We start from the raw sequence: 25,466 nt of genomic DNA, 5'->3' as shown, positions 1-25,466 counted from the left end.
AAAACTTTGTTCTCTGCTTTTTTCTTTCTTTCTTTCTTTCTTTTTTTTTTTTTGAGATGGAGTCTCAGTCTGTGGCCCAGCCTGGAGTGCAGTGGCATGATCTTGGCTCACTGCAACCTCCACCTCCTGGGTTCAAGAGATTCTTCTGCCTCAGCCTCCCGACTAGCTGGGATGACAGGCATGCACCACCACACTAGGTTAATTTTTGTAAAGACAGGGTTTCACCAGGCTGGTCTCGAACTTCTGACCTCAGGTGATCCGCCCACCTCGACCTCCCAAAGTGCTGGGATTACAGGCATGAGCCGCTGCGCCCCACCTATTCTCTACTTTAAAACTTGATTTGAGAAGAAGGCCTTTTCTGAAACTAGCCTTTAAGTTCTTTATCATCGCTCACAGCATTTAGGCCAATGTCATGCATGTGGAAAAGCAGGAACAAATATTTATGGCATGAGTAGCTAAGAGAGAGGGCCAGTAAGTAAATAAATAGGGGAGATGAGGTTTTCTATAATTTTAAGAATAAATGGTAAATCAACATCAAAGTAGGAAGTAAAACCCAGGAATTTGCAGGGAAGGGGCAAGGAAGATAGAAGATAAGTCTGCAACATCTTGTTATTCCAGAAAGTAAGGAAATAGTAAAAACTAAATAAATAAATGAAATGAAATGAAAAAAATGATGTAAACATGTCATAAAGACAAAGGAGCCAGCTTAAAGGGGCTCTCAATAGCCAAATCTAAGACAATTTGATTATCAAAACAATTAAGGACAGTAACGAATTAAGGATAGTAATGAGTTTTAAGCATGGCAGGGGGCAGAATTCATGAGTTTATTCCAGTGATAAATAAATGAGGGAGAAGGAAGGACTCGTGTTTACAGCAGAATCTTGGATGCCAACTGGTAAATGGGAAGACAGCATGAGAGCTGGAAAAATCATTTTGCAACTGTGACAGTTAAGATAGAATCAAGCAAGCATTATCAATAGATGCTAAATTTCAACAGAGAAACAAAGAACAAGATATGGATATTTGGATGGTCTTCAAGTACCTTCCCATATATTCCTCACTAGCTATGAGAAGGAAAAACGCTAATTACACAGTAGAGAAATTGGATAGCACCTTGACCAGGTGATCTATGTGGGGCAGATGAGCATCTCAGGCCTCCAGATGTGATATCTGAAAAGGACAGAGAGGATCACTCTTTTTAGTAGTTCTGCTGAGAATATATAACATGTCTAATTATGAGACAAATCATTAGACAAACCCAAAATGATGAACATTCTAGTTTTAAAAGTTGATGGGGGGGAGTGTGGACTGTATTCTTTGAAAATGTTCATGTCATGAATAATAAAGAAGGCTGTGGGAATGTTTCAGGTTAAAGAAGGCTAAGGAGACCTGACAGCTAAATCCAGCACCTGGCCCCTGTACTCAGTCCAGTGCTGGAGGGAACAAATTCTACAAAGGGCATCATTGGGTCAAGTGATAAAGTCAGAATATGAACGGATAGATTAGTTAAAAAGTATTAGGTGTTAATGTAAATGTTACTGAAATTGGTAATTGTACTGTGTTTATGTAAGAGAATGTCCCTATTATTAGGAAATGCACCCTGAAATATTTAGGAGTAAAGTGATAGAGGCAGGAAGAAGAGAAATTCTAGGCAGACAGGGGTGGGTCCCTGGCAAAACCCCACCTTCCAGCCAAAAACCCTGCAACCCTCTGCCCAAAGTGAGAACTTCTATCCCTGTTTGCCCACTCTCTCCCCATTGATTCTTTCTGATTAATGTCTTTTTACCAATCCAATGTTGCCTTCTCTAAAACTACCTATGGCCCACTCCACCCCCCGCCATCCTGTGCCTATATAGACCCCAGACTCAGTCGGTAGAGGAGAGAAGCAGCTTGACTGGAGAGAGGCGACTTGACTTCAGAGGGAGAGCTGGACTTCAGAGGAGAGATTAACTTCAGAGAAGAGCCGGCTGGAGAACGCCAGATCTCAGGGAAGATTATCTGCTTGTCCCGTCCCCTCTCCAGCTCCCCTCTCCACTGAGAGCCATCTCCATCAATAAATACAATTCTCCACCTCCACCATCCTTCAAGTATCTGTGCGACCTCATTCTTCTTGGATGCTGAACAAGAGCTCGGGACCCACTGAGTGATGGTACCCAAAAAAGGCTGTCACACTGGCCCTTTGCCCTCACTGGTGGAGGGCAGCCTCCCCATGCGATGAGGCGAGAGGCCCACTGAGCTGACAACACACCACTGTCCACAGACACCGGAGCTAAGAGAGCATTGTAACATGCCCTCTGGGGCTTTGGGGGTCACAGGCATTCCCACCTGGGCACTGCTGCAGGGCCTGCAGGGAGCCTACTCTTGCCGCTGCCCAAAGCAGCCGGCCAGATCCTGCACTTGTTCACCCACGCGTTCCTCGCAAGAAGAGCTTGAGCATGGCGGGCCGAGTGAACAGGGCACGCCTATCGCAAGTCTGATGAAGGGGTGGAGAAAAACTCCTGCATCAAAGAGCCATTATATATGTAACTTAAATAGTTGAGAAAAAAGTTGTCTCTGTGTGTGTGTGTGTGTATGTGTGTGTGTGTGTGTTTCAAGAGAGGGAGAGAGAGAGAGAGGAGAGAGGAGAAATGATAAAGCAAATGAGATGAACATATTAACAACAGGTGAGTCTAGGTAAAGGATGTACTGGTACACTATTTTTATTCTTGCAACTTTTCTGTAAGTTTGAAACTATTTCCAAATAAAAAGGTATTTTTTTTTAACTCACAAATCTCGGCTTTTTCTTGTTTTGGGCTTTTTGGTTTGATTAGGAGAAGAACAAGGCAGATAAAGAGAGGAAAAAATATAGTGTAGAATTCAGTAATGTACTACTGTTCATTTGTCACAACTTTAATGTACTTTTGACCTTACAAATGTACCTCAAGCAAGTAATTCCCCTCTCCACACCCACTCCCCATAATGGGAAGAATGTGTTTAGAAGGGTTCACTTAGTGCTTATTTCTGAAGCAGGTTATTTCTCAACCTTATAAAATGAGATTACCAGAAATTCTGCATTTCCTTTGTAATTAGGATCAAGATGTAATCATCTGGCCCTGAAATGTGTATATTATAGGGGTAGGAATCTAAGCTATAATGTTTTGTATGTACATCTAAGAATTGAGTTAAAAGATGTTTCAAAGCAATGAAGAAGTCACATCCATTCTCTACCAGTGGCCATGTATTAATTCTCCCGGAAAATCATTTCTCCGAGTTAATAGAATCTTTGAAGCTAAATCAAGTCAATTTCCATTGTCACATTGTGATGCTTTTGAACTGGGCTCACTGAATTATCCTATTTGATGACCACTTTAAAGATGGCTTTGTTGTGAGCCTCAGCAAACCCACAGCCGTATCTCTGTGTCAGCCTCCCCACCCCACCCCATTCATTCAAATCACTTAATGAGCAGCTCAAGGCAAATGCCCCCCGTAACTACATCCCAGGCAAAATAGATATATAGTAGGTAAAATAGCCTATGTGATGTGATTGAAAGAACACTGAAATCAGGAAACCTGATTTTGCCACTAATTAGTGGAGTGTCTTTAGGTAGGTCTCAGTTTCCTCATTTGCAAACTGAGGAGCTTACAGTAGATGATCTCTAGGAATTTGGTAGTCAGACTTTGGTTTACAGACAGGTAAGTATGGAATTTGGGAGGAAGCATTTGTGGTAGCCACTCCCCAAGGTGACCCTAGTGATTCTTGTTTCCTGGCTTCACCTCCTGTGTTGTCTCCATTCACATGGAATAGGGCTAACTTGTCTAACCAATAGGATATTGAAATGATGGAATGTGACTTCTGAGGCTAGATCCAGACTGTTGCTTCCACCTTGCTGTCTCTTGGATCACTTGTTCTGGAGAAAAAAAAACAAAAACAAAAACAAAAACAAAAAAACAGCTGTCATGCCTTGAAGCTGTTCAGACAGCTCTACATGGAGCTCCATGTGGTGAAGAGGAACTGAGGCCTCCTGCCACCAGCCAGCACTCATCTGCCCATCTTATAAATGAGCCACCTTGAAAGCAGAGCCTCTGGCCCAGTCAAAGCCTCAGACAACTGCAGTCCCAGCTTATATCTTGAATATAACCTCGTGAGAAACCCCCAAGCTGGAATCAGTCAACCAAGCTGTTCTTCAATTTCTGCCCTACAGAAGTGATACAAGATAAATAATTGTTGTTTTAAGCCACTGAGTTTTGGGGCAATTTGTTATACAATAAGCTTTTATTTTGTATGCATTTTTAAATTCTTATTTTCCCAGTCATCCACTTTTTATTATATTGTACAAAAGTGTCAATCCATGGTAGATTGAAAGTTAAAAACTCCAGAGTTCGAAAAGCGCTGATCAGAATAATACAATCTTAGATGAAGGCTGAAAAAGTTTTTGAAATTATCCAGCCCATCCTCTCACTGAGTGAATAACTTGTCTCTTACAGTTTTCTAGCAATAAAATTCTAATTCTTGGCAGCATTATCACCATTAATGTTATTAAACATGACTTTTATTGAGCATTTGCCAGGTAGATGCACTATCCTAAGTATTTTATGGTCTTTACACCAACTCTACACAGCAAATATTTCTATCTTAATTTTACAGAAGAGGAAACTGAAGCTTGGGATAAAGTCAAGACTTTAATTCATCGAGGTCATCTCATTCTAGACTATATTGCCTCTAGCTTCATTAATTTGTTTATCTCCCAAAACTTAATTTTATAGAACCAAATAACATATATATATTTTCAGACTGCTGGAAATTACTTTCTCACTTATTTTAAGGAAAAAGAGACAGAATTCAAATCCTAGGCCAGGTGCGCTGGCTCATGCCTGTAATTCCAGCACTTTGGGAGGCTGAGGTGGAGGGATTGCTTGAGCCCAAGAGTTCAAGATGAGCCTGGGAAACATAGCAAGAACCCTGTCTCTATAAAAAATAAAACAAGGGCTGGGTGCGGTGGCTCATGCCTATAATCCCAGCGCTTTGGGTGGCCGAGAGGGGTGGATCACGAGGTCAAGAGTCCAAGACCAGCCTGGCCAGGATGCTGAAACCCTGTCTCTACTAAAAATACAAAAATTAGCCAGGCATAGTGGCACATGCCTGTAATCCCAGTTACTCAGGAGGCTGAGGCAGGAGATTCGCTTGAACTCCGGCAGCAGAGGTTGCAGTGAGCTGAGATTGTGCCACTGAACTCCAGCCTGGGCAACAGAGAAAGACTCCGTCTCAAAAAAAAAAAAAAATAAATAAACAAAAAATAAAATAAAATAATTAGCCGGGCCTGGTGGCACACACCTGTGGTCCCAGCTACTTGAGGGACTGGGGGGAGGGGAGGCTGAGGTGGGAAGATAGCTTAAGCCTGAGAGGTCAAGGCTGCAGTGAGCCAAGATTGTGTCACTACATTACAGCCTGGATGACATAGTAAGACCCTGTGTAAAACAAAAATATTAATATAGCCAATGTAAACCAAGTGTTAAAAGCATTTGCCAACAATAAATGTTTTCATTGCATTTAATGTTACCTAACAAAATGGGAGGGAGTGTAAATGTATAAGAGTCATCTTTGGAGACAAATGGATGTGGTTCTAGTTAGTCTTCTCATTTGTAAATGAAGATAATATACTTACATTAGCATATCATTGTAAAAGTTATGGGTAGTCTACATGAAGCAATGAGAACAGTTGCTGGCATTCATGCATGCATGCATTCAATAAATATGTATTGAGCGTTTCCAAAAGGCCAGGCACTGTTCTTGGCAATGGAAATACAGTGGTGAGCAAGATAGCAAGGTCCCTGTTACCACAGCACTTACATTCTAGTGGGAGGAAACAAAATAAATAAATACACAAGTAAATGAACAAATTTATTTCAGAAAGTGATCAATGAATTAGGATAAAATAGAGCAATGCGATAGAATGTCAAGAGATGCAGAGAGATGTCGTTTTAGAGGAGGGAGGGCGTGGTCAGGGAAAGCCTTTGTGAGGCAGTGGCTTTGAGCTAGGACCGAATGTCAGGAAAGATTCAGTCATACATTCAGAAACAGAAGAAACAGGCAAGTGAAAGTCTTAAGTCAAGAACCCACTTGTCGAGCTTAAAGAACATCAAGAAGTCCAAAGTAGCTGGAGGAAAGGTGATACATGAGACCAAATCATGTAGGATCTTACAAGGCTGAAGATGAGCTCAGATTTTATTCTAACTGCAGTGGCAAGACTTTGGAATCTTTTAAGCAGGAGAGTGACATACATACTCTGATTAGTGTGTTGAAAGATCACTCTGTGTGTGCATGGAGGACCCTAGAGAGACGAGCTGGGAGGCTGTTGCATGATCCAGGTGAGAGATGATGGTGGCTTGGATTAAGGTGTTAAAATGGGGATAGAGAAAAGTAGGCAAGTGTATTCGGCCATTTTTGCATTGTTATAAGGAAATACTTGAGACTGAGTAACTTATAAAGAAAAGAGACTTAATTGGCTCACAGTTCAGCAGGATGTACAGGAAGTGTGGTGGCATCTGCTTCTGGGGAGGCCTCAGGGAGCTTTTACTCATGGCGGAAGGTGAAAGGGAAGCGAGGCATTTCACATGGCCAGAGCAGGAGGAAGGTGGCGGGGAGGTGCTATACACTTCTAAACAACCAGATCTTGTGAGAACTCTATCACGAGATCAACACCAAAGTGGTGGTGCCAAACCATTCATGAAGGAAGCGCCCCCATGATCCAATCACCTCCCACCAGGCGTGACCTCCGACAGTGGGGTTTGCAATTGAACAAGAGATTTGGGTGAGGAAACAGATCCAAACTATGTCAACAGGTTGCAGATATATTTCAAAGGTAGCTAAAATGACTTCGTTGGCACTAAAAAAAGTTTTTATTATTACTACTAATAATAGGGACTTTTTTAACCATCTTGTGCAGGATTTTTGTTGAAGCAATATTGTCTTAGTTGTTTATTGCAACACAATTTGCTGTGTTCTCTAATGTTTTACTTGCTTAGTGTAATCAGGGGAAATGAGTTACTGAGAAAAGAAAAAACTCATTTGAATATAGACAGAATCTTTCCTGTATTACCCAGTGATTAAAGAGAAAAGATGGCCGGGCACAGTGCCTCATGCCTGTAATCCCAGCAGTTTGGGAGGCCAAGACAGGTGGATCACTTGAGGTCAGGAGTTTGAGACAAGCCTGGCCAACATGGTAAAACACCGTCTCTATCAAAAATACAAAAACTAGCCGAGCAAGATGGTAGGTGCCTGTAATCCCAGCTACTCAGAGGCTAAGTCAGAAGAATTGTTTGAACCCAGGAAATGGAGGTTGCAGTGAGCCCAGATCATGCCATTGCATTCTAGCCTGGGTGACAGAGGAAGACTCTGTCTCAAAAATAGAGAGAGAGAAAAGATAGTTGGTCTTAACTGTTGGGCAACTGGGGTCATTAGAAAGGAATGTGAATCTTCTGATTCTACTTACCATGGCTTATAATGAAACCCAGGTGAACAGGAAGGCACAAACCCAGCATCACCCAACAGGGGAAGGTGAAATAAGTCAGATCCAGATGTGCACAAAGATGAAGTAAAACCTAAGCTGGAGAATGTTTAGTTTGGGCAAAATGGAAGCCTAAGATAACCACAACACCTATTAATGATGAATAAAACGTATCCAGATACCTAGACGCAAAATTGAGCTGCAGGAAAAACAAATATAGAAAACATCAGGTCCAGAAATAAATAGAGGTGAGAAACATTGCATAAAGCTGGCACTGAGATGCCCTGGGGAGTTACTGGCCACTACCATCTGGCTCCATGCAGGGAGAATACATTGAGGATTGTTGTGAATGGGTGGTTGGAAGTGAGAATCCTACATAAGGCAGAGCTAGCAAAGGGCTACATCCACAGTGAAGGGGTGGACTGGGAAAAAAAATCTATCCACAGGCACAGAGTGATGTCAAGGAAGTTTGCAACCTCTGTCTAGATTCTGGATGAGAGAAAACAAAAGTTTTCCCTGAGAATGCAAAACCTCAAGACACCATTTATACAGGTTCTGAATGTATAATAAATGCACAGCCTGGGAATCACCACGCCCAATCCAATAAATTATTTATAAAAATTTACATTAAGCCAGTGATTTCCTCTGTCTCAATAGGAAGAGGAAAACACAATTATGAACTTTACCAAAATTTTAAAATGTTGCTTTTGCAAAGATTCCATCAAGAAAAAGAAATGGCAAGGTATTCCTCATGGAACAAAAAAAGAGAAAATCATGTATAAAACAGAATAGTCACTCAAAAGAATTTTGAAATGGCAAGGTATAGACTGGGAGAAAATACTTGCAAAACACGTGTCTGAAAAAAGACTTGTACTTGTATCCTGAATATGTAAAGAGTGATTACATCTCAGTAATAGAAAACAAATCAATTAAAATGGGGAAATGATTTTAATAGATGCTTCACTAAAGAAGACACACAAATGGATGACTGTACCTGTTTTTTTCCTTTTTATGGCAAAATACAACATGAATTTTACTGACAAATACGACATGAATGGGTCTCAAAAGCATTGCACTAAGTGAGAGCAGCCAGTTAGGCACACTAAACTCTGCATTATTCCATTCATATGAAATTCCAGAAAAGGGGAAACTATAGTGACCAAAAACAAATCTGTGATTGTCAAGAGCTAGAGATAAGGGTTGGATGGGGCTGTTCTATATGGTGACTGTGGTTATGATTACATAACTGTAAATTTGTTAAAACTCATTGAATTGACTGCTTAAAATGGGTGGATTTTATCATATGTAAATTATACCTCAATAAAGCTTATTTTTACAAAACTCATGGTCTCTTACTGGACAGAGCTAGAAATATATAAACATACAGTCTTCTGTACCCTTTGACCATAAACAACGGCTGTGTGACACTGGACAATTTAACTTCTCTGGGTCTTGTCTCCTCAGGTGTAATGTGGGGATAATAACAGAGTATTACATATTGTTATGAGGACCAAATTAAATAACACAGTATATATAAAGCACTTTGCACTGTGCCTAGCAGGCCATCCAATCACCAACTCAGGGACACTTTCTTTTCTTTTATTCTTTTCTTTTTTTGTGTAATTTAAAAAATATTTTTATAAAAAAGTGGAAACAAGGTCTTGCTATGTTGTCCAGGTGGGTCTCGAACTCCTGAGCTCAAGCAATCCTCCCATCTCAGCCTCCCAAAGTGCTGGATTACAGGCATGAGCCACCCTGTGCCCCACCCTCAGGGACACTTTCTAGGCCTCTTCCCTTTGTTCAGATTCACTCAAGAGCCTTCTCAACAGCCTCAAAACTCATTCAATGACCTCCTGGTCTAGCTTGGCTTCTCTCCTAGTTTCCCTGCAGGAAGAGTTCCCTAGAAGTGTCCAGTTGCCTGGGTAATCATTTTGTTCATTTTGTTTTTGTTGTTTGTTTGTTTTGTGGGGCTTTTTTTTTCTTTTTCTTTTCCTTTTTTTTTTTTTTTTGAGACAGAGTCTCGCTCTGTCACCCAGGCTGCAGTGTGCAGTGGCGTGATCTCGGCTCACTGCAACCTCTGCCTCCCGGGTTCAAGCAATCTTCCCACATCAGTCTCCTGAGTAGCTACCAGTTGCCTGGATAATTTAATTTCAGAATGTTGACATCGCATTCTGGGCTATAATTTAACCTTGCCTGAGTTTGGTTTGTATGGGTTGCCCTCCCATAGCCTGTCTTCTCTGGGACACTGATAAGATCATACATCTAGACTTGCAAGGCTGGGAACCTGACTCCCTAGATTGTGTGGAACGAGAGAGGCCCAGCTGAGTAGATTCTCCCCTGGCACCATTTCTGGATCACTATGGTCGAGTGGTAATACAAGATGGTAGCAATAACTGCCAGAGGGCTGACCTACCCATTACTTTTGGTCTTTCAAAGTATTTTTGGGTACAAGAAGTACAGTTTACCTTGCTTGGGACACACACACACACACACACACACACACACACACACACACACACATGAAAAAAGAGAGAAAAAGAGAAACCCTAAGTAAATATGATTTCATTTTCTTGAAGAAACTCCTTAATATTGGAATAGGCATAACTCTGGATTCTTTTGAGTGGCTATTCTGTTTTATCCATGATTTTCTCTTTTTTTGTTCCATGAAGAATTCCTGACCTTGAAGTGAAATGGATATTTTGGTTGTATTCTCACTCTCAGTGACAGCAAATAGGAAAGAGAGAATACATTCTCTACTGGTGTTTCCCACTCATTCCTGTAACTTGGCACATACAGAATGGAATACAGCAGTACGGCGGGGAAGCTGCTGGGGCCCAACAGCCTTGCCAAGGGTGTCGATGATTTAGGCTCGCTGTAACCCCTTCTAGGCACACCAGTATTCCCCTGTGCACCAGTGGGTTGCTCTGGCTTGAGGAGCAACAGCTGCAAAGTAAGCAATTGCTAATTAGGAAGGAATCCTGTTCTCCATGCAGGCCGGTTGCAATCCTAACTCTGTAGCAAGAAAGACACCTTCATCCAGACAGGTCAGTGTGAACCTGTGACCACGTTCCTGGACAGTCTTCATGAAAGTGAACAGATACCACTGCTGAATTTATCTGTGCTCCTTGGACATTGGCTTTTTGTCCAAGGTTTTACCCTGAATTCATGAATTTAGGAGAAAATCTGGATCTAGGGGCATGCCGTTGATGATTTTTTATCTGCTACTTCCATAGCAGAGACAGGACATCTTATACGTTATTTCTTAGCAATTGTAAAGCTAGAAGAATAATTTTTATCTGTCTACATACCTCACAGTGTTGTTGTGAGAATAAATGAAACATTGGAACCATACCCGTTACACAGTAAATGCTATGTAATTGGTTGCCATTACTATTTACATGTTCACATTCTGAGAACTAAGTATTTATGAGGTTAAGAAAAAGTCAAAATGTTGTTTTCCAAATTCTTTTTAAAAGACTGATTTTTGTAGGAAAGGTGGAGTCAAAATACCTGGCAATTTTGCCAATGCTACCATTAGTAATAAATTATCAAATTAGATAACAGAATCAGGGAATTGGGGATCTGGAGAGGAAAGCCCAACACTTTTCCTTTTCTAGATGGAAAAAAGGAGATCCAGAGATAGCAAGCCACAACAGCAAATCTGAAATCATAACTAAGAGCTCACAGTTCTTGTCTAGAGCTCTTCTCCAGAATGCTATGGCCTAGACAAAAAAAAAAAAAAAAAAAAAAAGACTTAAAAAAATAAAGTGCTGGCAGGGGTCGGTGGCTTAAGCCTATAATCCCAGTACTTTATAGACTGGGGCAGGCAGATCACCTGAGGTCAGGAGTTCAAGACCAGCCTGGTTCCAACATGGCGAAACCCCATCTTTACTAAAAATACAAAAATTAGCCAGGCATGGTGGTGGGTGCCTGTAATCCCAGCTACTCAGGAGGCTGAGGCAGGATAATTGCTTGAACCCAGGAGGCGGAGGTTGCAGTGAACCAAGATTGTGCCATTGGACTCTGGCCTGGGAGACAGAGCGACACTCTGTCTCAAAAATAAATAAATAAATAAATAAAAAATAAAGTGCTTCAGAGAAGCTAAATGCTCTACCAACAAGAGCACTATATTTGGGCAAATGAAGTCAGAATCTGCTTATCAGTTCTTCTAATGGAAATGACAACCAGCACAAGCAAAATGCCTTATGATTTGGAAGATAAAAGAACCCAGTGCTCACCAGATCTCCTGTTATTCCTGATGGAACCCTCCCAGCTATTACACCTTGGAAAAATATTAACGTGTTCAGCCAACAAAGACAAATTTAAAAGCAAAGAAAGCAAGTGATGCTGTACGTTGCAATGCCACCCGATATTCAAATTGTACCCTCCTGAGCTGTGTCTAATGTCAGCATCATTTTTTTAAAGAGACATATCAGTTTCCGTCAAGGTTTTTATTTCACTTTACCCATTCTTCACTGCCTGAACTGGGGCAAAAGAAAGGAAGAATTATCAGCTACATTACTTTTTAATTTAATGCCCTTGAGTAAGGGCAGTAGCAGCGAGGCATAATAGAGATTTCAGGGGGACGGCAAAGGGAGAACAGTTGTTCGCGCAACCTCTTCCATGGATGCTGGTTGCAGCAGCTGTCTCTGCCATCATTCTCGCAAGGTAATGCCTTGCTTCCCATTGTCATTGTATCTCAGAATCAAATTATTTGAATTCCAGACACATCGACAGCACACTGAAGGGCCCCTGCCAATTTTTGCAGCTTGCTCGGAAAAGAGCATCATGAAGCATTACTCATTTATACGAAGCCCAGGCTCCTGTTGTAAATCCAGCATGCAGGACTGCCTCCAGGTGCATCCCTTCAGCTTAGCTCTCTAATCCTGTAACCCTTTACCACCAGCTCCTTCCTGGAAGCAGGTGCGCCACATCCCCGTGCCAGTCCTTCCCCCTCTTGGAGCCTGTGTTCAGTGGATGGAGTCCCGGCTGCCAGAGCTGACCTGGAGACAGAAACCAGCTATTTTTCCTGTCAGGTCTGGGGGTGAAAAACCCCAGGCACAATACAGTGAGTTGTCCCCACAGCTACCCCTCCAATATTGTCATACAGATGAAGTCTGGTTAAAATCCACATCTGCCTCACAATAGTGAAGTTGCTGATAATAGCGCATCTCTTGTCGGAAGATGAGGGATCTAGTTAGCAAAAGTGTTTATGAAGAATTTTTTTATCACTTAGAAAAAAATCTCACAAAATAAAGGAAAAAAGAATATGTGTAGTATAATCTCAAATGTTATATATGTTTTCAATATGCATGTAAGTACACACACAAACATATATATGTATATATATTATATTTAGAGAGATATAGATATTTTTTGACACAGGGTCTCGCTCTGTCACCCAGGTTGAAGTACAGTGGCACAATCATGGTTCATTGTACCTAGGTTGCTGCCCAGGCTCAAGTGATCCTCCCACTTCAGCCTCCCAAGTAGCTGGCACTACAGGCATGCACCACTACACCGAGCTAATTTTTTTTTTTTTTTTTTTTTTTTTTTTTTTGTAGAGATGGGGTTTCACCATGCTGTCCAGGCTGGTCTCGAACTCCTCGGCTCAAGCAATCTGCCTGCACTGGCCTCCCAAAGTGCTGGAATTGCAGGCATGAGCCACCATGCACCCAGCCACAAACATATTTAACTAGAAAATACAACAAAAATGGACAGTGATTATTTTATGTTTCTTCTTTACTTTTTTCTATATTTTTCTAAAACAAGCAGATACTGCTTTTATAGTCAGGAAAATGAATGTTGTTTATAAAGATAATTTCCGTCAAGAGTGTTTTTAAACAAACAACTGTTTTCAAAAGTTTCGCTACACAGTCAATTTTTATCCCCAGCCCTGTAAGTGAAGGGTCCCCATCCACTGTCCCCTGGTTAGAAGAGTTTTCCCAAGGGGTTCTTTTGACACAAGTCCGGGTTTAGGAGAGTTTTGTCCAGCAGGAACAAGAGTGACCTTATTAGTCCAGTCAGATTCTCTTACTAATTGAGCTACACAGAGATCAGTAGTAGAGGCAGAAAAAGAAGGAAAAGGGAAAGGAGGAGGGAGAAGGTGGGTTATTTGAATGGCTGGAGTGCAGACTACTGGGGAAGGGATAAAGAAACTCTTAATATAATAGCTGGAGCTGCCTTGGACCCTGGACAAGCTTCCAATTCCAGGGTTCTATGCCACGCAGGTCAATAGTTCCTATTTTTCCCATGAAGACTTGGTAATTGGTCTTCCTAAGTACCCAGAAGGCAGATCCATGGCCAAGAATCCTGTTTTCCTTGGTACCACAGGTATCCTTTTAACAATCTATCTGGTGGACCATTAAAATCCTCTCCTGGGTCAGACTATATATGGATTATTTGAACCACACGAGCAATTTCAGGATATCAAGAGCTTGAGACCAGGCAGATGAGTTCCACTGGTAATTTTATTCTTTATTTAGTAAACTATCCAAACCAAGGCTATCACTAGCCCATATGGCATTTCGTACAAATTTGAAAAAGCTAATCTTTCCTCAAGTTAAAAAGTTATATTATTTATTTCTCAATAATAACAAGGACTGGCAGTAATTCCATGTAAATTATGCAAGCAAATAATTCATTATAAAATATTGAAAAATTCAAATGATTAATTATAATATTAAGAACTCAAAGTCACTTGGATTTAATAATTTGTTGTAAAAAAGACATCTTGTCTTTGTGGAAGTAAAATTCTTTTTGACAGTTTTAATTCTTACTTGTTTTATTGCTTATATTTTATGGAAATGATCATCAGATTGGTGGACTTTTCTTCTTGATTGTAGGCCTTACATTGGTTGTTTTGTTTTGTTTTGTTTTTGAGACAGGGTCTTGCTCTGTCCCCAGGCTGGAGTGCAGTGGCGCGATCACAGCTCACTGCAGGCTTGACCTCCTGGTCTCAAGTGATCCTCCCCACTCTGCCTCCCCAGTAACTGGGACTACAGGCACACGCCACGGTACCCAGCTTAATGTATTTAATTTTGATAAGCCACATTCTCCATTGATATTGCTATTGGCAAAATTAGTTGTATCTTGAAAGGCATGAAGTTATTTGGAAGTGGATCTAGTAAGTTATTGTAACAAAGACTTTGCAATATTTTAGTGAAAGAACATTAGATTTTAAAAGACAACTTCAGGTTTTTAGGGCTTTGTACATTGATGAATGATCTATAAAAGCCTTTAATATGCTTGTCAGTCAATTTCAATTGTACATTTTTAACGCAGCCTTGGTACTTCATATTCACAGCAATTCTTCAAATCACATGCGATATCTGGAACCTTCCTACTCCACATATCCAGCATCAAAGCATCATCAGGGGCTTGTTAGGAATGCAGAATTTCAGGTCCCAACCCAGAGTTACTGAATCTGAATTTGCATTTTAATAAGATCCCCCGCATTCTATATGCACAGGAACATTTGAGAAATACTAATCTAAGACACAGAAAAGACCATATAGTCCTTCTGCAATATAAATCTTTCCTTTAAAGAAAATATGACTGTAACCTATAGAGAGAAAAATAGAAATAAATTTGGGATCACAGGTGGATTGACTGTAGAAATGACATTTGAAATTAATCTTCCTGGCCAGGCACGGTGGCTCACACCTGTAATCCCAGCACTTTGGGAGGCTGAGGCGAGCGGATCACCTGAAGTCAGGAGATCAAGACCAGCCTGGCCAACATGGTAAACACTGTCTCTACTAAAAATACAAAAATTAGGTGAATATGGTGGGGCACTCCTGTAATCCCAGCTACTCAGGAGGCTGAGGTGGGAGAATACCTTGAGCCCAGAGGCGGAAATTGCAGTGAGCAGAGATTGCGCCACTGCACTCCAGCCTGGGTGACAAAGTGAGACTTCATCTCAAAAAAAAAGAAAGAAAAAAAAGAAATTATTCTTCCTCTTCTTTCTGGTATTTTTATATTAGAAAAATTGGGCTTAATGTTGAGAAACTCTGCAATTTGTTTAGCAGCTTAATGTTGAGAAACTCTGCAATTTGTTTAGCAGCAATAATATCTTTGTGTGAATATCATAAGTTAATTTTTCCTAAAAAATTTTCTAAGCCCATAATGTTATGCTTTCAAGGGAATTATATATACTGACTTTGGGTTCCTGTCTAAGTTTGCATATAACATTAACTTTATCTTTACTCCTAATTTAGGCTGAACAATGCATTTTAAAGAAGATATTTTCAGTATACTTCTGACTTGCATTTTAGAATCTACATTTTTATTCATATCATCAACATGCATTGCATACTCTCTCTAATTAAGTTCTAGTAGCAAGATGGCATCTCCTCAAGTTTCCCATCCTATATTCAACAATGATTTAAAATTTTATGTTCCATAAATGCCTTTACAATATATTCCAACATTTGGTTGAAGCAAAAGAGTTAGTTATATCATATTTACAAGAAAAAAACAAACAATCCCATCAAAAAGTGGGCAAAGGATATGAACAGACACTTCCCAAAAAAAGACATCAATGCAGCCAACAAACATATGAAAAGCTCAACATCACTGATCATCAGAGAAACGCAAATCAAAACCAAAATGAGATACCATCTCATGCCAGTCAGAATGGCAATTATTAAAAAGTCAGGAAACAGGTGCTGGTGAGGCTGTGGAGAAATAGGAACGCTTTTACACTGTTGGTGGGAATGTAGATTAGTTCGACCATGGTGGAAGACAGTAGGGCGATTCCTCAAGGATCTAGAACCAGAAATACCATTTGACCCAGCAATCCTATTACTGGGTATATATCCAAAGGAATATAAATCATTCTGCTATAAAGACACATGCAGACGTATGTTTATTGAAACACTATTTACAATAGCAAAGACATGGAACCAACCCAAATGCCCATCAATGATAGACTGGATAAAGAAAATGGGGTACATATACAGCATGGGATACTATGCAGCCATGAAAAGGAATGAGATCATGTCCTTTGCAGGGATATGGATGAAGCTGGAAGCCATCATTCTCAGCAAACTAACACAGGAACAGAAAACCAAACACCGCATGTTCTCACTCATAAGTGGGAGTTGAACAATGAGAACACATGGACACAGAGAGGGGAACAACACACACCAGGGCCTGTTTGGGGGTTGGGGGTGAGGGGAGGGAACTTAGAGGACGGGTCAATAGGAGCAGCAAACCACCATGGCACACGTATACCTGTGTAACAAACCTACACGTTCTGCACATCTATCCCTTTTTTTTTTTTAGCAAAAAAAAAAGAGTAGTTATATAATTTCTTAGATGATATAAAAAAATTCAGTGCTGTAAAATAGATATTTGCTGCATCATTCAATATCAAATGTAAAGACACATAACAAAAAGTATAAAATACTCTAGACCTTTTTTAGGATCCTCTGTTGCAATCCATTATGATTTCTATGCATACTTGTGGCATTGCTGTATGTAACTTTTCTTTACATTTGCAAGTAGCCTTCTGAAAGTTTGTACATGCTTTCTTTTGTCATCTACTGGACAACCTCCCTCACCCAAATATCCACATATGAAATGTTTGTGTTCTAATAGTTTCATGTGTTCTTTATGTGTAGTTCTAATAGCTTTATGTGTTCTACCTGGCTTATACCAGAGACTGTATCTGAAATAATAAAGATAAATAATCTTTTTCAAAATTAGTTCATTCATTACTTCTGCTATCAGTTTAACTATTTGGTTTTTATATTTTATTCCTTAAAACTGTGTAACATTATTTGGTATCAATGTGCCATATTTTATTGAATTTTTGATAGTTTTTGCTAAGGAAGACAATTTTCCCTCCCTTCCTTCCTTGTTTCCTTCCTTCCTTCCTTCCTTCCTTCCTTCCTTCCTTCCTTCCTTTCTTTTTTTGAGACTGAGTCTCACTCTGTTGCCCAGGCTGGAGTGCTGTGGCACGATCTGGGCTCACTGCAACCTTTGTCTCCCGGGTTCAAGGCTGAGGGCCTGCCTCAGCCTTCCGAGTAGCTGGGACTACAGGCACGCACCACCACACCTGGCTAATTTTGTACTTTTAGTAGAGATGGGGTTTCGTCATGTTGGCCAGGCTGGACTTAAACTCCTGACCTCAAGTGATCCGCCCACCTTGGCCTCCCAAAGTGCTGGCATTACAGGCGGGAGCCATCATGCCCTGCCGGAAGACAATTTGCATCACTGCACTAGTAGTTTCCTGGATAATCTTCTCCCTAGATGTTGTCTTGTCAAAGCCGAGTCATGTATATTACGTGCACATGATATTGTTTCTCTTTATCATAGCATCTTTATCACTTTATATTATATATATTTCAAATCTTTGAATTCTTAACACCATTGAAGTGCATTTACCCTCTGTTTATTAGTATTATGTGATAAGTACTGCCAACCCATTCTAACATCTTTATTCTTCAGTTGACACTTTTTTTTCATCCCTGAAGAATTTGCAATATAGAGAAAACACAGAAACCATTAAGGTAGAATAATAAGGGGCGTGGTCGGTTTGACATTGGTAAGAATTTATGGGCCGGGCGCGGTGGCTCACGCCTGTAATCCCAGCACTTTGGGAGGCCGAGGCGGGTGGATCATGAGGTCAGGAGATCGAGACCATCCTGGCTAACAAGGTGAAACCCCGTCTCTACTAAAAATACAAAAAATTAGCCGGGCACGGTGGCGGGCGCCTGTAGTCCCAGCTACTCGGGAGGCTGAGGCAGGAGAATGGCGTGAACCCGGGAAGCGGAGCTTGCAGTGAGCCGAGATTGCGCCATTGCAGTCCGCAGTCCGGCCTGGGCGACAGAGCGAGACTCCGTCTCAAAAAAAAAAAAAAAAAAAAAAAAAATTTATGAATAAGTAATTTCTGAAAACTTCCTACCTGTACTGATAGTAGTTAAATACGATGGAAAGTTAAAATTCTTATGTATACATTTTGTAGACAAATTTCAAATAGAGTGTTCTATGGACAAAAATTCAAATTACATAGCCAAGTACCTCGATAGGGAAAAGAAAATCTAGTTTAATGTTTTCTTTTTCTCTTCCACTTTTTTCTCAAGTTATGTCTGACATAAATATTGAAATTAAATCCACATCCTAATTTAGCATTTTTTGCCTCCTGATTCTATCTTCTCCAAAAATATATTCAGTAGTCTAATTGATTGTCTTTGATTTCCTTCCATGTTTTCTGATTCTGAAATTAATTTTAAAAACTCCTTTGTAGTATCTGAGCAAAAAATCAATGGTATTTTATCTCGGAACTTACATGTACATAACATACAAAATATATAATTAACAGACTGCTAAATATTATCAAGCATTAATATTTTTATTAACAGGATATGCACAACAAGCAATTTCCATTATAGAACTAGCCAGATCACGAAGTGGTAATCTCTAATTTATGTGCATGTAATTCATTTTGTGGATTATCTGAGTGTATGTCATTTGATGGTGATTAATCTAATAATGAAAGTTCTTGTAGATTTAAACGAGGAATTCAGGAATAGCTTTTGGGTGCAGCGAACACAGCAGATAATGTGAAATGCAGTATGAAATATTAATTAGCCAGAGCTCTAACAACAATAGGGATTTAAAAAACATTTAAACACTCACCTACCAATAGATAAAGTGATTTCTTGTTTAGAAGTAAAAGTTATTTTCAGATGATGTTAGACATGTTGATTTCGAATACTGACTCATTTTTCCTTTGTAAATGGACTCTGAACAAAATATAGTAAACATCTTAAAACAAGACACTTTACTGCCATCTGCCGGGAAGTTGTAAGAAACATACAAATCGTCAATCTTTCCAATAAACAAAATAAAAATAAACATATAAAAATTATCACAATAATAAAGCATCTCTGATATGAACGGCACCTTGTTGAATGAGGAGTGCTTGTGCAGTGCCCAACATAGATCATCATGCCTAGATTTTACTATAGCTGCTTTCAAGTCTCTGTCAGAGAAGAGAAATTCCAGTTGGAGAAACATTCTTGAGGTCCAGTCTGGTGTTGCTCATTCATACTGTTGGTAGAAAACAGGGGAGGGGCCACAGTCTATAATTCAACTTCTGCAGAAGGCTGTCTACTCTCGTGAGTCAGACTGGGAGCTGGAGACTTTCATCACTTGCCCCAGGACAGAAGGCAGAATCTTCTCAAGGGTAAATCCATTGACTCTGCAGAAAGTGGGAGAAGGGGAGGAGTTAAACCCAGGAAAACTTTTTAAGGGAAAAAAGACTTGTCCCTTAAATTAGGGAGCTTGCAGATGAGCCAGAAGGATCCCTAAAGAACTTTAAGTGGAGGTAGGGGAGGGAGCTTTACGCATTTTGATTATAATTCTTCAGTGCAAACTCACAACTTCTTACTAGAAAGGGTGACATGAGCTCTGGCATGCTTTGCTTAGAAACAATGGTCAAGAATCCATTACTATTTTCTATTCCCAGAAGACAAATTCTCAGATGGAAAGGTGGTAAGACATCACCCTTATACACCCTCAGGTACTTGAGGTAAATCTTAAATGAGTCTGTATTTCTTGTGATGCAAATAGCAAAACTTAATATTAAACCAATAACTAATGCAGGGCTGAATGTCTTCCATTACCTCAGACAGTACCTGGCCCACAAGTGGCACTATCCCAAAGTGCTAAGTGAGCAATGATGATGTAGAATTAGGGAAACCAGAGAAGACTTCCAGGAGAAGGTGCTAGATCTTGACAAGGGGGCAGAATTGAGTTAGATCTCGACAAAGGGGCAGAACATTAGCAGGCAGAGACAGCAAGGAAAGGCCGCAGAGGTGTATATAGCCCTATGAAAAGCAAGACTCATAAAGTGGACAAAGAACTCGAACCATCGAGTGGACACTGGAGACAGGAGAATGTCAGGACAGCATGGTGACAGTGTATAGTGAGGAAGCTGAGATGTGGCAGGGGCCACAGTTTTGACACTGTGCATGGAAGCCAATTTGCAAGGGAGAATAATGATTGAATGGGAGAGGAGGGAAGGAAAACTAGAGAAGAGGAGGTTAGTTAAGCTACTCTCTCTCTTAATTTTTCAGTAAAGTAATATGTATATGTATATATTTCAAAGTGCACATAAATATATATAGCTTGATGAATAATTGATTTATTTACTTCTAACAACATAGATTAATTTTCAGATCTACTTTTTTGAAAAGGAGTTTTAAAAGATGGTAAAAGGAGAAAAATGGGATGGTAGCTTGAGTGGAAGCATCAATGGAAAGGAATTTTTAGGGCTGGTCTTGGTGGCTCACGCCTGTAATCCCAGCACTTTGGGAGGCTGAGTCGATTGCACTCTAGTCACCCAGGCTGGAGTGCAATGGCACGATCTTGGCTCACTGCAACCTCTGCCTCCCAGGTTCAAGCGATTATCCTGCCTCGGCCTCCCAAGTAGCTGGGATTACAGGTGCCCACCACCACACCCGGCTAATTTTTGTATTTTTTAGTAGAGACAGGGTTTCACCATGTTGGCCAGACTGGTCTCGAACTCCTGACCTTGTGATCCACCTGCTTCGGCCTCCCAAAGTGCTGAGATTGCAGGCATGAGCCACTGCGCCCAGCCCATAGACAGTTGTGAGCACGAACACTGAGCCAGACACACTCCCTAAGGTGTTATATGGTAATTCATTTGCTCCCCATAATAATGAGAAAGGCAATATTTATACGCCCATTTTACAGATAAAGAAATTAGCTGTGGGACTTATGGAAGTTAACTTTTTGATGTTTCAGTTTCCTTATCTATAAAATGCTAGCATTTAGAACATTGATAAGATTCATAGAGCCCATTCATTAGTTCAGCAAATTTTACCGAGCCCCTACTATGTGCCAGGCACTATTCTAGGCACTGGAGAAAGAGCAGGAAAAATGTTTTATTAGAAATACATTATATATATATATGGTTGGTGCAAAGGTAATTGCAATTTCAGACCATGAATTTGAAATCATTATAACTAGGCTCAAACACATCTTTATTCGTAAGAATAGGAACCATTACAATCAACACATTTTTACCAATGAGAAATGTTTGCTTATTGCTGTAGTGTAAAAATCCATACTTCAACATTTGAACTCTTGGAAAGCATTTTCTGCATCCTGCTGGTTGTGGAAGCGTTTTCCTTGCAAAAAGTTGTCGAGATGCTTGAAGAAGTGGTAGTCAGTCGACGAGAGGTCAGGTGAATATGGCGGATAAGGCAAAACTGTGTAGCCCAATTCCTTCAACTTTTGTTCAAAGTGTTGGTTGTGTGACATACGGCTGGGCATTGTCGTGGAGAGGAATTGGGCTCTTTCTGTTGACCAGTGCCGGCTGCAGGCATTGCAGTTTTTGGTGCAGCTCATCGATTTGCCGAGCATACTTCTCAGATGTAATGGTTTCTCTGGGATTCAGAAAGCTATAGTGGATCAGACCAGCAGCAGCCCACCAAACAGTGACCATGACCTTTTTTTTGGCGCAAATTTGGCTTTGGGAAGTGCTTTGGAGCTTCTTCTGGGTCCAGTCACTGAGGTGGTCATCGCCAGTTGTCGTATAAAATCGACTTTTCGGCGCACATCACAATCCGATTGAGAAATGGTTCGTTGCTGTTGCGTAGAATAAGAGAAGACGACACTTCACAACGATGTTTTTTCTTTAAACTTTCACTCCGCTCATGAGGCACCCACTTATCGAGCTTTTTCATCTTTCCAATTTGCTTTCAGTGCCGAACAACAGTAGGATGGTCGACGCTGAGTTTTTCGGCAACTTCTCATGTAGTTGTAAGAGGATGAGCTTCAGTGATGGCTCTCAATTAGTCATTGTCAGCTTCCGACGGCTGGCCACTACATTCCTCACCTTCAAGGCTCTTGTCTCCTTTGCAAAACTTCTTGCACCACCACCGCACTGTATGTTTGTTAGCAGTTCCTGGGCCAAACGCACTGCTGATGTTGCGAGCTGTCTCCGCTGCCTTACAACCCATTTTGAACTCAAATAAGAAAATCACTCGAATTTGCTTTTTGTCTAACATCATTTCCATAGTCTAAAATAAACATAAAATAAACTAGCAAAAAAACATAAAGCGAGAAATGCCCATTAAAATGATGTATACGGTAACCACATTTATTTACATTCTTAAATGTAAATAAGAATTATGTTCTTAATTTTATCTTTTCTTGCCTTATGTTTTATTCCAATATCAAACGGAAAATTCTAACAATGCAAAAACCGCAATTACTTTTGTACCAACCTAATATCTATATATATATATATACACACATGAATAATTTGTTATATAATTTGATTTTTTTTTTTTTGAGACAGAGTCTTGCCCTGTCACCCAGGCGGGAGTGCAGTGGTGCGATCTCTGCTCACTGCACCCTCTGCCTCCCAAGTTCAAGAGATTCTCCTGTCTCAGCCTCCTGAGTAGTTGGGATTACAGGTATGCACCACTATGCCTGGCTAATTTTTGTATTTTTAGTAAAGATGGGGTTTTTCCACGTTCGCCAGGCTGGTTTCAAACTCCTGACCTCAGGTGATCCACCTGCCTCGGCCTCCCAAAGGGCTGGGATTATAGGCGTGAGCCACAGCACCCAGCCTAATTTGATTTTTTAAAAACCCAAATATAAGCTTCATATTTATTTCTGCAAAATTCCGTCTACTGGATTACACAGTGTCAATTACAGCCTAACTTTCAGTTGAAAAGCTAGAATCTTCAGAGATTCCCCCAGGGGCCATGGAGGATGGGCTGTTGAGGGTCCCTGATTTCCTCTGCTCTTCCAGAGAAGAGCCACCTGCTAGTCTTCTCCCTCTGAGAGAGAGATTAGGCTTCCATGGCAGTGGAGAAGGTAGAGGGGGCACGAGAGATAACTTCCTGAACACCTCTGCCTCTAACTTCCTACATTGTCCTCTCTGATCCTCATACAGCCAGGAGTGGTGAGTCAAGCAGGTGCTATTGTGCCTGATTCACAAGTGAAGTTACTGAGTTATAACGAGGTGAAGGGTCAAGTTCTAGGCACTTCTCCAACTGTAATGTACATGAGGATCACCTGGGGATCTTGTTAAAATGCACATTCTGATTCAGTGGGTTGGGTGTGGGGCCTAAGATTCTGTATTACTAAGAAGCTCTTGGGTGATGCTGGAGACCACGAGCCTCTCGGTGAAACAGCAGGTGAGATGCTTTAGGGCCAGTTCTCTGGATAGAGGTGGGAGTCGCAATCACATTGCCCCTAGCTCCTCCTGCCACTAAATTTGGCCACTTCTATTTGGAAGTTGGGAGAGGATTATCCTATTGCAGTACTGTGTCTAGAGGGGAAGGTGACTCATGTCCCCTGCTCCTTCCCCAGGCAGAACTCAGAGTTCTTTGTGTCTTGTCTGCTCCTTGCCTGAGCTTTTTGGCTATTTCTTTTTCTAAACTTGAATAAAATACAACAGCAAGAAAATAGCAATGACTCCTGTTGGAGTCCAGTATAGCTGAGATCACCTGATTTTAAGTCGGGCTCAGGTGAGGCAACTTGTTATAATGGAAAGCTTTTAGCTTCCAGAGTTAGACACCTGGGTCCAAATCCTGGTTCTGCCCCTTACAAAATATAAATAGAAGGAAAATGTACTTAAATTTCTTGGCTGGGTGCGGTGGCTCATGCCTGTAAGCCCAGCACATTGGGAGGCTGAGGCTGGTGGATCATTTGAGGCCAGGAGTTCATGACCAGCCTGTCCAACATGGCAAAACACTGTCTCTACTAAAAATACAAAAATTAGCCAGGCGTGGTGGTGCATGCCTGTAGTCCCAGCCACTCGGGAGACTGAGGTATGAGAACACTTGAGCCTGGTGGGTGGAAGTTGCAGTGACCTGAGATCGCACCACTGCACTCCAGCCTGGGTGACAGAGCGAGAATTTGTCTCTAAATAAATAAATAAATGAATAATAAATTGGCCTCAGCTAAAGTGGCAGACTTCCATCCTGACCCTTACTCTGCCCAATAACCCCACTGGAGGGCAGCCCATTTCAGGTTACCCTGCAACATCACCAGAATTCTCAGAATGCTCAGTCTGCAATTCCAAGTTATTCCAAAGCTAAGTCAGTCTGATGTTCTGGGAAGAGAAGCTGAAAGCCCAGCACTTAGGGGAAGTTTGGCCTCCAGGGCATCCCTACAGGTTGTACTCACTGATGGGTGGCATGGTGTGGGGGATGATGGGAACTCAGTTGGGTCTGAGGACAGAACCTCCCTATCCCTTGATGTTAAGTTAGCCAGAGCACACCACCACCAGCCCACATATGATGCTAAACCTCCTTTCCCAGGCAGCCCACACCAACTTCTTCCAGGAGTCGATGTTTCCTATGGAAAATGGATTAAATAAGAATCTCCTTGAATTCATCAGACAGCCCTGAACTCTGATGTCCTGTTGGTCCTGATCTTGACTCCACCTCTCTCCTTGAGGGAACTGGTGTTCTATGGCTAGGACAGACTCGAATCTGAGACTGGGCACATCTGGGGCTCCAATCCACATGAAGTGAGAGAATAACCGGATAAAAAGTGAGTATAAATTGCCATGTCCAAAACAAAATCAAAGCCAGGCTTTCTGGAGTGGAAAGTGCAGAAGAAACTTGTAAAGGGGAGGCCAAACCTAGAGCTGACCCTCATATTCGTGGATTTGCCTTTGTGTTTTCTCATTGGTTTTCCTGCCACCACCATTTTGGCCACACAGGGGCACTGCTTACCCTTGCTATTCTCTTAACTCCTTCTAAGGAGTCTGCCTCAAGACTGAAAAGTTCGAATAGGACCTTAGCAAATGCCAAGATGACATGTAAACTCAAAGCAACATGGGTTATAAGCATGGCCATGAAGATGCCGAGATCATAGGGTCCAGAGCTCCCCAGTTAACCCAGTTGCGCCGCTGAAAGGGGCAGAACTCAATTCCTCTTGGTGGAACTCGGGAACAAGAAGGGAAATGAATGCGGAGAAAAC

The 25,466-nt window shown here is 41.1% G+C and overlaps 1 annotated feature.

The window, feature by feature from the left end:
- Positions 25,136–25,225: a silencer, noted in NCBI's record as "silent region_3244". NCBI's record gives its function as "represses an Ori minimal core promoter by ATAC-STARR-seq in GM12878 lymphoblastoid cells {active_cell/tissue: GM12878}" and the evidence as "EXISTENCE:reporter gene assay evidence [ECO:0000049][PMID:35858748]".

Source organism: Homo sapiens, chromosome 11 (genome assembly GCF_000001405.40).
Source record: "Homo sapiens chromosome 11, GRCh38.p14 Primary Assembly".
Taxonomy (NCBI): Eukaryota; Metazoa; Chordata; class Mammalia; order Primates; family Hominidae; genus Homo; species Homo sapiens.
Note: the sequence above shows the minus strand (reverse complement) of the source record. Positions and strands in the feature narration are given on the sequence as shown.